At 37.5% G+C, this 12,922-nt stretch overlaps 1 protein-coding gene across 5 annotated transcripts in view, besides 1 other annotated feature; it reads left to right on the forward strand.

Annotated features, from left to right (window-relative positions):
- The window catches only part of PPM1L (protein phosphatase, Mg2+/Mn2+ dependent 1L), a 322,672-nt gene that overhangs the window by 159,658 nt on the left and 150,092 nt on the right, over nucleotides 1–12,922 (forward strand). The gene's annotated exons all lie outside the window — the stretch shown is intronic.
- Nucleotides 12,635–12,684: a silencer, noted in NCBI's record as "silent region_14862". NCBI's record gives its function as "represses an Ori minimal core promoter by ATAC-STARR-seq in GM12878 lymphoblastoid cells {active_cell/tissue: GM12878}" and the evidence as "EXISTENCE:reporter gene assay evidence [ECO:0000049][PMID:35858748]".

A 12,922-nucleotide genomic window follows, 5' to 3' on the forward strand; every position in this document is an offset into this window, starting at 1 on the left:
ACCTTATACAAAAATTAATTCAAGATGGATTAAAGACTTAAATGTTAGACCTAAAACCATAAAAACCCTTGAAGAAAACCTAGGCAATACCATTCAGGACATAGGCATGGGCAAAGACTTCATGTCTAAAACACCAAAAGCAATGGCAACAAAAGCCAAAATAGACAAATGGGATCTAATTAAACTCAGGAGCTTCTGCACAGCCAAAGAAACTACCATCGGAGTGAACAGGCAACCTACAGAATGGGAGAAAATTTTTGCAACCTACTCATCTGACAAAGGGCTAATATCCAGAATCTACAATGAACTCAAACAAATTTACAAGAAAAAAACAAACAACCCCATCAAAAAGTGGGCGAAGGATATGAACAGACACTTCTCAAAAGAAGACATTTATGCAGTGAAAACACACATGAAAAAATGCTCATCATCACTGGCCATCAGAGAAATGCAAATCAAAACCACAATAAGAAGGAGCTCTTATATATCCTAGATATAATTTTTGACCACCGGAAATTATTAAAAATCTTGCCATGATAGTGCTTTCAGTGCATTACTGTAATAAAAATAATGGTCTAGATGCTAAAATGTAACACATCTGCTATGATATAGCTCATTTGAGGATAATAGAAAAATATCGATAAAAATATTCTTTTTGTCATCTTCAACGTGCATGATCTCAGATTTCAAAAAGGATGCCTGCCTACATATCTCTTCTTCCAGTACACTCTGCAATCTACTTAAAAAAAATTTTTTTTAAGATAGCTGCTAGATGAGTGCCAGTTTTATATTCTTTTTTTTTTCTGGCAACTCCTTTGAGAAACATATGTTTCTAACTTAAGTTACTGCTTTTTCCTCCATATGCTTCTTATTCCATTTCTAGGTATCAGAAAGGCATTTGGGTTGAATACGTGCATGATTAAGTCCATGGAGCTTATTGGTGGAGTCAGGCCCTCCAAATAGGAAAGAAAAGAGAACCTGATCACCACCAATTTAAAAGTAACTTAGAAACAAAACATCAAACTCTTTTTCTGCCAGTGACTTTAATTTTTAAACTATATAAACACTTGCTCATCAGCTATTTTTTGTGCTATTTTATGCATTGTTCCAAGCTAAACTTCCTGGGGAAGAACACAGGCACTACTTTCAAGAGCTCAGAGAACAAATGCTGGAGGACAAGAGAGGGAATTAGGATTCTTGAATGCTACTTATACTATTTACTTCTGGTCTTCCACAACTTCATGTAATTTATCATCTGCCCTTATTGACTTAGAAGCTTACATGATAGTATTTGGTTCAATGACATTGAGTAAGCATTCTGCAAATTAATTAGTGGGACAAATTTGGTCTCATAATTCCACTGCTGCTTAAAGTTATTAAAGAAATCTCTCAATCTGCTAGCATTGTAAATAGCCTATTCTAGCTAGTTATATAGATTCAAAACTTACTTTATTATGTAAACTATAGAGTGACAGGTCAGTGAAAGTGTTTCAACTTTTAGAAATTGTTGACTTTCCAGGACTTGCATTTCTGGCCTTAATTATCTTGAATATAACAAATCAGTGTACGGTAAGCAAAGTGATCTCTGGATGACTAAAATAGATATTATATCTCATATCTCATATGGTTCAGGCACAGCATAATTCCTCCAATATCACTCAGAGCTTATGTATTCTTATATTAGGCATGATTTTCATAAGACTGGTTATTTGTTTCCCCTGCCTGCAGCTATTAAAAGCAAAAAAGGTGGGAGTTGTGGGGAGGTGGTGGTAAAGAGGGACTCCTATATGCAAAAACACTGATAGCAGATTAGAGAAGGAGAGAATCATATTTTAAAAAAAACATGATTTCAAAGGAAGGCCAATTTGGGACCGTTTAGTACATGTATGGCAAAGCCCAGTGGATCTTAAGGGCATCCCTGTGTCATAGGGTACACCAACAATGTGATGGCCCATGAGTTACAAAGACTTTACATTGTGATTAATATTCCTTTTCTTTGTTCGTAATAAAATTCAAGATAGATTTCAAACCAAAATGATAAACAAAACAATTATGTGTCAAGATTTAGCACCTTGACCACCTGGAAAACTTTGTCCTGTTCCTTGCCCTAATGCCTTTGTGCCCTCCCTCTCCCCAGCTGCACATGCACACTTGCACGCGAATCCTTCTCACTCACAGGAGTCACCCACCGATGGAATTTTCTCTGGGAAAAACTGGTTGAGCTGCCCTTCCTTTGAGCTCCCTTTGCTTATAATATCATGGCACTAACAACCCCATATGGTGATTACCTGTTTATTTGCTCTTCTTTCCGATGAGACTGAAAGCTATTTGAGGGCAAAAGCTTGTCTTATCCACTGTTATATAAGCCTATCACTTAGGACAGTTGTACCTGGCACATGGTATAGAGTTAATACATAATTCTTAAATAAAGGAATGGTTGAATGAATGTTGAATAAATCCAGAATAACTTCTGAGGAACCAAGATTTGTCTGCACAGTACTTTGGAAAAGCAGCATGCTAAAACCTTTGGAAAATTTGCGCTCTAATCTGTTTGGAAATTTCTATTAGAAACCATCACATGGATAAGAGTTTAGAGTAAGGTGTCTTTAAGTTAGATGTCTTTAAGCTGTGAAAAATAAAACTGAATCTGAAAAATGAAACTATGCATAAATATTCTAGCATAATAAAGAAGTTATGGATTTTGTCTTTCCTTAAGAGTTCTTATTTGATATAAAAATATCCTCCATAGCAAAATGAAAAATTGAATATGCTATATTTCTATAATTTTAAAAAATACTTTTGCAAGTGATACTTTAAGAACCATTAATAGTTCACCAGTGATTTGGCTGAAAGAGAACAATCAGAAGCATGTTGTTTCATGGATCTAGTAACTAATAAAATACCCTTGCCTGGAATAATTTAAATCCAGAAAAGAGAAAAAGCTCATTACTGACAAGTTTGCTAATGATAAAAAATTAGATGGCAGTAAATAACATTAGGCAATAACATTAAAGTTCAAAAATGCCATGTTGAAGTTATTAGACTTGTAAGTACAATGATACATACAAATGAAGGAGACCGGGTTTAAAGTGCAGTACCAGGAATAAAACAGAGATTAAAGAGAAGGGTTATTTAACACTGGGATGGTTAGTGAAAAAGCTCGTGAAATCTCCTCAGACTGGGATAATGTCTTTGAAATCCTTTTTATATGAATGAGTAAAAATCATAATCATTAATATTATTTAGTTTTAGAATAAAATTGGGGAAGCCCACTAAATACATGAAGTGTTGGATTAGACAGGTATTTTAATGGTCTTTGATTCAGGAGGCTGACTGCTCTACAAGCCTTTTCTGAGAGATTCTTTTTCCTTCTGCCTTTTCCTCTCCATCTGGCCTCTGTGACAACTATGTTCTTCTACTTTTTCATTTATCTAGGATCATAGTTGGGCCACTTAAGAACTGGGCTTTCTTCCAAAATAGGATATTTGATTGTGGCCATTTTGACAATGTTGTCTTAAATATAAAAAGGCACACAAAAATTTTTCTTAATAACCAATGGGCATTATAGGCATGCGTGGGTGTCATCCTCATGCTACCTTACAGTACCTGGTAGGCTGATGGATGGAGGAAGGCTCTTGGAGCGAGAGAGGACGTCTGTTGCAAATATTGCATTACTTGTTATGTATACAAAAGCTAAGAACGCGTAGCTTTTTTGTTAGTTTGTTTTAGACTGAATAGTCTAATATATATAGTTATAATGTTAGTTATGTTTTGACACAAAAGTTATAACATTATAACTGACATAGTTTGTCAGCTTAGTTTGTTTTAGACTGAAGAAAAATATCCCCCTTTCAGAAAAAAAGCTACATCAAAATGTCATATACCTGCTTATTTCTGTTTTGCATTAGGAAGTTAATAAGCAAGTAGGTGGGTGAATTGCTCTGTGAAACCTGGGCTCAATAAAACATTTTGTTTTCTTTTTATTACTTAAATTGGTTTTTGAGCCCTGCTTGCTGGTGAGGTATCTGATGTCGCCCATTGTTGGGATTCCTTCCCCAGCTTTCTCCCCACAATGCCCTCTCCCCTGCAACACTGTATTGCCTTGGACTCCCAGGGCTTAAATGGGTCCTGGGAACATGGGCAGATGTCTGGTCCTGAGCCATCACTATGGTCACCATGGCTCCTTCTATCCACTTTACCACGTCTGAAATGGCACTTCACTCCTTGGGGGTGGGGAGCTCTCAAAAGTGTCTCTCCACAGCTCTTGTCTCTGCAGGCGGGCTCCAGAGTGTCAGCCAAGGGCAGGATATTCTGAAGCCAGCCAGTGCCCACAGCCATTTGTGGGTACCCTGCTCAGAAGTCTGCCACCTCTGGGAGCTCTATGGCAATAAGGGCCAGGCCTCTAAGACTCTAGGGCCCAACTGCACTCCCAGCTTGCCCCTTCTCCTCCCCAGGCTCCCAGTATCTCAACCATGCAAGGGCCTTTCTTGGCCTTTTCTTTCACAATGGGGTTTAATGACCCATGTGGAATTTCTAAATGGATAAAACCTGAAGACCACCAAAGCCTGTTTACTTTTCCTGCACATAAGAAGGACTTGATTTTTAGGAGTGCGGTGTATGGTCTCCCATCTACCAAGGATAGACGGTATATTTCTTTGAGGCAGCTGAAACCCAGCAACTGCACTTATGCATTTAGTTTCTCTCTCTCTCTCTCTCTCTCTCTCTCTCACACACACACACACACACACACTCACACACACACACACACACACACACACATATTAAAGATCTGAGAGTATTTGTTTCGGACAATCCCTTTTAGCAGTAGGAGGGTGGTGATGAGGGAAGCTTTATTTCAAAATGCTAATACTGTAAAGTTATTTTACTCATCTCCTTGACTGTCTTCATATACTAGAAACTGACTATAACATGATCCAATTGTAGTGTGAAATTTAGCATAACCAGGTTCCCCTGGCAGCTAAGAAGGTATAGTTACTAGAAGGCCTGCATTATAAGATGGCCACAATGTGAGACAGCAGCACAGTAGTGACTATCTCACCATTTTCTTACATTTTTATTCAGTTTTCTCGGTATCAGAAATTTACAAAACCCTTTTCTCTTACTTTCCATCTTTGCCAAAAACATAGAAATCTGACCAGATTTCACCAGTCAAAACTCATTGAAACTCCTGAAATTTAAGTTAGGCAATTCCTGCTTTTCACTATAGTATGTTCCTGTAAAGAATAACAGAAAACAAAGACAGCAAAAAATTAGTATTTAATCTTTCCTCCTGCGTAACTGTGGAGCCTGCAGTTACCCTTTTAAATCACTAGATGACGCTTCGGCATTAAGGCCAGCTGTGGGGACTGGCCAGTCAGCAGGCTGAATATTAGGATGGTAAAGACACAGGCAGTGAGTGATATGAGATTTTTTTATGTTATCCAGGGTGATTTTTATATGTGACAAAAAGACTATTAATAAGGTTTAATTTTGATTTTAAAAACTGACATTTACTTTTTAAAAACTACTTTAGGCTTTTCAGTTCAGCTTCCAACTCTAGTTTCTTCTTTTTTATGTATAAGTCAGACAGAAGTTAGTAATAATTTCAAAGGGCCTTTGAATAACGTTTAGTCCCATTTACAAAATTAATTAAACATTTAAACTGTCCTTATACATTTAATATATGTATTTCTTTTTAAAAACTTAAATTATCTTATTTAAAATGTCACTGGATAGTAAATAATAACTTCACATTTAATAAATCAAATCTATAAATACAGTGATCCTCAAATTTTCTCAAATGTTCCAAATATATAAAATGTCAAAAATTAATAGATTCTTGAAAAATAATTATTTTATTCTTAAAAATCTTTACATACTTACACTTAACTTTCTAAACTTCTGAGGTATAAAAGATACAACCCCATTTGAGGAAGGCAGTTAAAAATTCAGTTAACTAAGGTTACTTATGACCAGGGATTTCAGTATTAAGACCTAGAGTTGCAGAGACCCAGAGCACTTTGTCTCATCACCAACTAAGGAAACTACCAAATATCAAGTAATTCAGGGCATTTCTCAGTATACAAAGGTTACTAATGACCAGAAATTCCCATCTGGATGCTGATTAGATTCCTGCTGACGGCTGGGCACGGTGGCTCACACCTGTAATCCCAGCACTTTGGGAGGCCAAGGCGGGCAGATCACGAGGTCAGGAGATCAAGACCATCCTGGCTAACACGGTGAAACCCCATCTCTGCTAAAAATACAAAAAATTAGCCGGGCGTGGTGGCAGGCACCTGTAGTCCCAGCTACTTGGGAGGCTGAGGCAGGAGAATGGCGTGAACCTGGGAGGTGGAGCTTGCAGTGAGCCGAGATCACACCACTGCACTCCAGCCTGGGTGACAAAGCGAGACTCCGTCTAAAAAAAATATATTACATATATTCCTGCTGACTAGATTCCAGGAGATCTGGATGATGATAGTAGAACCCATTTTATAGTTACTTTCTCAGGGATTTCAAAACAGGCATTGAGTCTTATATGTTCCTCTGTCCCTGGGTCTAGATTATTTACACATTACTAAGTCCTCCCGATTACTCATATAATTCTCCATCACCCACCAGGTTCATCACTTATATCTTTTTGGTTCCCAAGTTATACAAATGATTCATCTAAGTCTAAGGTCTTTTGAACTAGATGGCATCTTATATTCTTTCATATTCTCAGGACCATACAACTCTAACAGATACTTACAATGAGATAGATTGAATTTGGATATCTCAGTATCTACTTTGAAGTCACCTGTCATGAAGTAATGGTTCCCACAGCAGTGAAAAGTAAAAGGATTTATACACTTTTGGTACTTGCAGATAAGCAAAATTATGTAATAAAACTTTTGTCTTTTTAAGGAACCATCTATATGTCAGGTACTGTGCTAGGCAAAAGAATATAATCATAGTTAACACAGACATGGGTTCTCTTCTCATAAAGGGTATGATAAAGTGAGGTTGACCATATCCTAATATTGAAATTTGGATAATAAAAGGGCAGGTACCTAAATATTGGACCTGATTTCTGCCAACGAATAAACTACTAATGTACTTAATTTCCTCTTTTCTGGAGTGAAACTAATGCCTATTCAGCTGGAGTTGCTGTAGAATTAACATGGAGATTATTACTAGCAATGTAGCTAGAACTTGTGGCAATTTACATTAAGAATGACCTCATGGAACAAAGAAAAAAGTTCAGTTTTAAGAGTAATTTATTTATTCCCTATTCACTGATGAGGTTTATTTTTAAATGAAACTACTCTACCTTTTAGGATCTCACTATAGATATCATAGTAAAGCTTGATCATGAGACTTTGGGCAGCTCCTGTTGAAGCCAGTAAGGAAATTGGAATGAGTCACGTGTTATAGAAACCAGTTCATCTGATTTTTGCCTTATTTCCATTTGACGGTACTTTCTGAATTAATATTTTATTGTTCTGAAGAGCTTCATAAAAACCATATGTGTTATTTCCTGATTCTTAAGAAAGGGCTTTAGAAGTTGTTCTAGTCCCTCAAGATAACTTAGAAAATATGGCCTTATTTTAGCAAGTTTTAGGCCATTGAGTGGCATATGCAACTGGTTTCTGAAATGGGCTCAACCCATGGCAACACTTGGGAAATAGCTTTATTCTTCTCTCACTATTGCTCTCAAATCACGTCACATCAAAGAATATTGAAATGGTGTCCAGAATATTAAATAGAAAAGTAGTTAACCGTAAGAAAATATCAGTTTCCTCTTCAGTCATCCCTTGCTTTTAAATGAGTAGTAAGGCTGGGTTGGAAATTCAGACAGTGTAGGATGCTACTGCATTTGATATGCCCCAAGAATGATTCTCTGACTGGCAAAATAGTGTTTTCAGTAGAGCATGTGGCGGTGCATTTGAAGCCTTAAGAGTAATAAAGTCTCAGGACAGTCCTCTCCTTGGGCTCTGGGACTCCTGATACCTTCACAAAATGTTTTTTATTTTTCTTCTCAGGGGAAGCAGATGGAATGAACAACTTCTGTCTATTATCTGCTATTTTTAGGCAAGGTAAACCATCATCTGTGTGCCCCCTTTAGAGAAGTTGAGCTAATTTAGCAAAAACAAACAACAAACAAAAACAGTACAACAAATGTCCTGTTAAAAGTCTGTTTTCATTAGAAATTATATTCACTTGTTTCTGTTTGTTTTAGAAAAGAGGTAAATGCTGAAAGAGGGTGCGATTTGGTGTTGCCATTGAGCCACAATTTCTGTCCCAGGGAAATAATTATCCTCTTTGGAATTGTCAGTCAGTTGCTCCCACAGAGCTTGGCTATGGGCTGTGAGCAAAACCCAGCTATACCAGCTTGAAGCCTAGAAATTTTGGATACATTGAAGAATCCAATCTTCTGCAAAGGGTCGGAAGCAGTGTGGGTAATAGTTAAATATTGTATTGGATAGGGACATTAAAACGTTTGGCTGTTCTCTCTCTTTTTATCTGAAACTTCCAGAATCAAAAGGTCTAGCCAAGAAAGGAAATCATTCCTAATTTTGGCAGGTTCTGTAATAGGAAGAAAGAATCAAGTCTAGCTAGCCAAATCTAGCCTAATAACCAATGGGACAACTTCCAAATGTGGAAGTCAGTGCCTACCTACCATTGTTCTCCAGGACAATATAAAATAGTTCAATAAGCCATTTAGCTTAGGTGTTAGAAAAACGCAGCATCCTTAGTATAGTTGGTACCTGAAAAACATTTGCTATTTCAAGGCTTGATAGAGATACTGGCATATGCCTTCCTCAATCTCAATGTAATATATAGTACCTCATGGCCTATCAAAGAGAAAAATCTCCAGAGTAAAGGGAGCACTTGTGTAATAGGGTATTCTTCTCCATATAGGACAGAGATAGGTCAGTTATGGTACTTTTGCAAAGTGAACCTGAAATTACAAGCTAAATTCTGACTTATATCTAATGATAGGAAACAATTCGCATTTAGATTTCCTTTCTGGTATGTTGTCCTTTTGTCAGCTCTTTACTGACATAAAACCTCATTGCAGACATGCTAGAGGTTCATTTTTTGCCTAGCTTAGCAAAAATATGTAAAAAGACTATTCTCTCCTATTTGTTTTATATTTCCTTTCAGAATAAACTGCATCTGCCCAAACAAATTCAAGTTGTAAAAAGCAGAAAATCAAGAAGCTATACCTAATCATTGAAATCAGCTTCTAGAATTATAAATATGGAAACTGCTTGTTGTTATCAAACAAGAAATGGTCATGACCATTTACAACAGCCGCTGCTCTACAACTCTGATTTACCAGTCACTAAAACCCCTGTTTATAAGTGTCACATTTATATGCGCAGAATTGAACTTCTCATTCCAGTTTATACTGCCAGTGAGTTTTGGAAATGGGAATCATGAATTTTTTGAGAGGTTTTTTATTTATTTAGCATGGTATGTTACAGAGTAAATGGTAAATAGATGGAAATAAAATGTAGTTTTACTTTAAGTTAGCCATTTAGGTGATCAAAACATCAATTCAATTGAGTTTGGCATATTGTTCTAATGTGATTATTATTAACAAAATTTAGAGTCTTGGATTTTTACACTAGTTGTAAAGTGTTTAGTGAGTCCTCGTGTTCTCAGGAGGCTGTTTTACTGGAAACTAACCCGCCATTACTGGAAGTAGAAGACCAACTCTTAATTCATTATCTCAACAAATCATAACAAGGATGAAAATAACTCTACCATATGTTTTGAGAATACCTTATGGTTTAATTATACCTATTATTTCATGTATAAGAGATACATGAGATCCTTAGATGAAATCAGTGATATAAGTAAGACAGATATTTTGGAGGAGGAAAATGAAGTCTAAAGAGTAAGTGGCTAGTCCAGAGCTGAAGAACTAATTAGGGGTAGGGCCAGAGAAAGGACAGAAACCCCATCTTTCTAGTTCTACTCATTGCACTCTTATAGGGTGCTGACATTCTTTAAAGGATCTTCTTGAGAGAGGTGATGGTGGTGGATATTCTAGCTGTAGTATAAGCTAATCTCACAGCCACAAACCTCTGGATTCAGAATTCTAGCACCAAGGAATATTACTGAGAGAAGGAGAAGAGGCAGCGTTGAGGGTAGCTGAATGAGAGAGACGGGTCTTGTATCTAGGAACTTTGAGACTAGGGTCCTGGCAGAGGGTCTCCTTCAGGAACCTATGTAAATACAGCCAGAAAGTCTGGTTGTATACCTACCTGCCCCTTTGCCCCTTTCCTCTAGCGTCTTTTTCTCTGTGGATTCATAATGTAATTCAATTGAAACCTTTCTTTCTGGAGGGCTGCAGCAGCAGCCTCTCTTAAAGATTTCTGAGCCATAATAGGTTGTTCCATGCATTTTGATGCTTGATTAGAATCTTAGAATGTGGGAACTGCAGTTTACAGACAATCTAGCTAGGTCCTTGTTTGAAAATGAATGCAGTGAGAAGACTGCTGTGTTGATATGAAAGCTGATAAATAGTAAACCTGGAACCAGAACCCCTAATTCAGATCTCTTTCCACTGCATGATTGCTCTTTTGTTTCATTTCGATAAGGCAGTCAGCACACCAAGAGTTTAAGCTTTTTAAAGCCAAGGACTTCTTAGAACCTCCCCCCCTTAATGCCTACCCCATGCTGAATATGTTCCAGGGTAACAAAAGTGTACATTGAATTGACTTTGGAGCAAAAGAATCTGTTAGCTGTGCTGACTATGGCTCCCTCTGATTAAGTAGGGGGATGTTTGTTTCAATGTGAGAAATTCCTTTTCTGGGCTCTGCTATGAATATGCTATGCCAGTGGTGGCTGTGGGTGGTGGGTACAAAGTCAAGATACTAAGCCACAGGACTGCATTCTGACCCAGAATAGTTAGTTGGTCATTATGATAGCATTCACCTGAGCTCTCCTGACTTGCTTGGGTTATTGGATATGTAAAACATACATTGATAAAGGAACCTCTTTAAGAGGCAAGGCACTTGTGCGTGTTTTATTTCAAGTATATTCCAAGGAGCTTGTTTAGTCCTATAAATAATCATTGATCCTCAGTGCCTCACAGCATGTATTATTTCCATTTTGCAGATGAATCAAGAAAGTCAGACTTGTTAGGTTTTCCACCTAAGGCAAATGTGTTAATATTGTGTAAATAGAAGCTCTGAAAGACAATGGGATAGGAGGCCTTTTTCTGCACCTTTACCTTTGCCAGACATATGTACAAGGAACATCCCATGACTTAAAGATAGAAAACCCTAACCTGTATTACTTTAATACACCAACGTCAACAAAGGCCCAGAATCAAAGCTGGGCTGTGTTATCTTTTCTAACCAGAAGCTCTCTCAAGAAAGTACAGCTGGAAAAGCAAAGTAATTTCCAGTTGTGTCTTTGAAGTTGTCTGGTGTGATATGATGGATGTTTAATACATGCTGTGGATATTTTTAAAATAGGGAGCAATCATAAAATCATAACATAGAGCAACTTTTGAACAACAACATTTAAGGTCTAAAAAAAAACCCTACATAGCATTTTTTTTCTTCCTTTACTTTATAGCTGTGTCTGTAGTCTGATGCTGATGAATTTTCTTTTTAAACTAGAGATTTAGACTCATTGGTAGTGAAACTGTTACATATTATGTGATTTTTATACCATGAAAAATTTCTCGATTTCATGAGATCTTTCATTTCCCTATGTGTGTGTGTGTGTGTGTGTGCGTGCGTGTGCGTGCGCGCGCATGCACGTAAATGCGTGTTAGTGGTTAACATGTCTATAAGAAAAGCTATTTGCCTCTCTCCCTCTGGTAGCTGGTCGAACGAAACTTGTCACTAATGGCTACTTTTAAGCAGTGACTATATGAATTTATTGTTCTATTTTTGGTCAGGCAGTTGCTATGTGGTTTAGTGGCTTTGTTTAGTATTAGGGCTCCTAGATGAGCAATACAGCAAGAGAAGAGTGTCTGGCACATAGTGTGTAGTAGGTACCCAGTAAATGTGTATTGAATGAATTAATTAAATAGAGAATGAATGACTCCAGATCATACCACAAAGCCTGGACTAAACCAGTTAGTGAACAATTTTAGAATGTTAGAGGTAAGTGACATTAGAAGTCACTTAATCTACTTTCCTGTTGGGAGATATCAAATGAATTAGATCTATTTGCTCTAGAAAATATTTTAAAGGAGAGATTTAGAGTATTGGAAAGGATACCAGATTTATAGTTCGATGATCTGGCTTCCATAGACAGCTAAACTCTTGCTTTTTTGTATGACCTTGGATACGTTCCTTAGTTTTTCGCTTCTAAAGTATGGATAAAATGAGATAATGGATGTAAAATTGTGGGGTGGGGTTCAAGTATTTAATCTGCCTAGCACCCTTCTTCACTTCTAGCAACAGACTGCACACCCATCCTGACCACAGGGCATATGGCCTGGTACCTCACCTCATCTGAACACAGTGATTGGCTCAGGAGGTGGTCACATGATTGAAACAGGGCCAACTAGAGTCTTCCTGTGGGATTTTTCAATGCCATCCTGACAGGCGTTTTTCTCTAGTATGGTATTGCTGTAAGGATCAGCGTTTGGAGCTACTGGTAGCCAATTGCTACCTTCCGACTCCCTCTATTGGAGAGAATATGATAGCATACAAAGAGTATCAGTGCTATGTTTGAATATTTATGTACTCACCACAGTTTGTGTTGAAACTTAATCCCCAGTGAACAGTATTATGAGGTAGGGCCTTTAGGAGATGATTAAGTCACCAGGGCAGAGCCCTCAAGAATGGGACTAGTGACCTTATAAGAGGGCTGGAGGGAACTAGCTAGGTCCTTTTGTCCCTCTTTCTCTCCTACCATGCGAGGACACCTAGATGGTGCCATCTATGAGAACAGGCCTTCGCCG

This window comes from Homo sapiens, chromosome 3 (genome assembly GCF_000001405.40).
Source record: "Homo sapiens chromosome 3, GRCh38.p14 Primary Assembly".
Taxonomy (NCBI): Eukaryota; Metazoa; Chordata; class Mammalia; order Primates; family Hominidae; genus Homo; species Homo sapiens.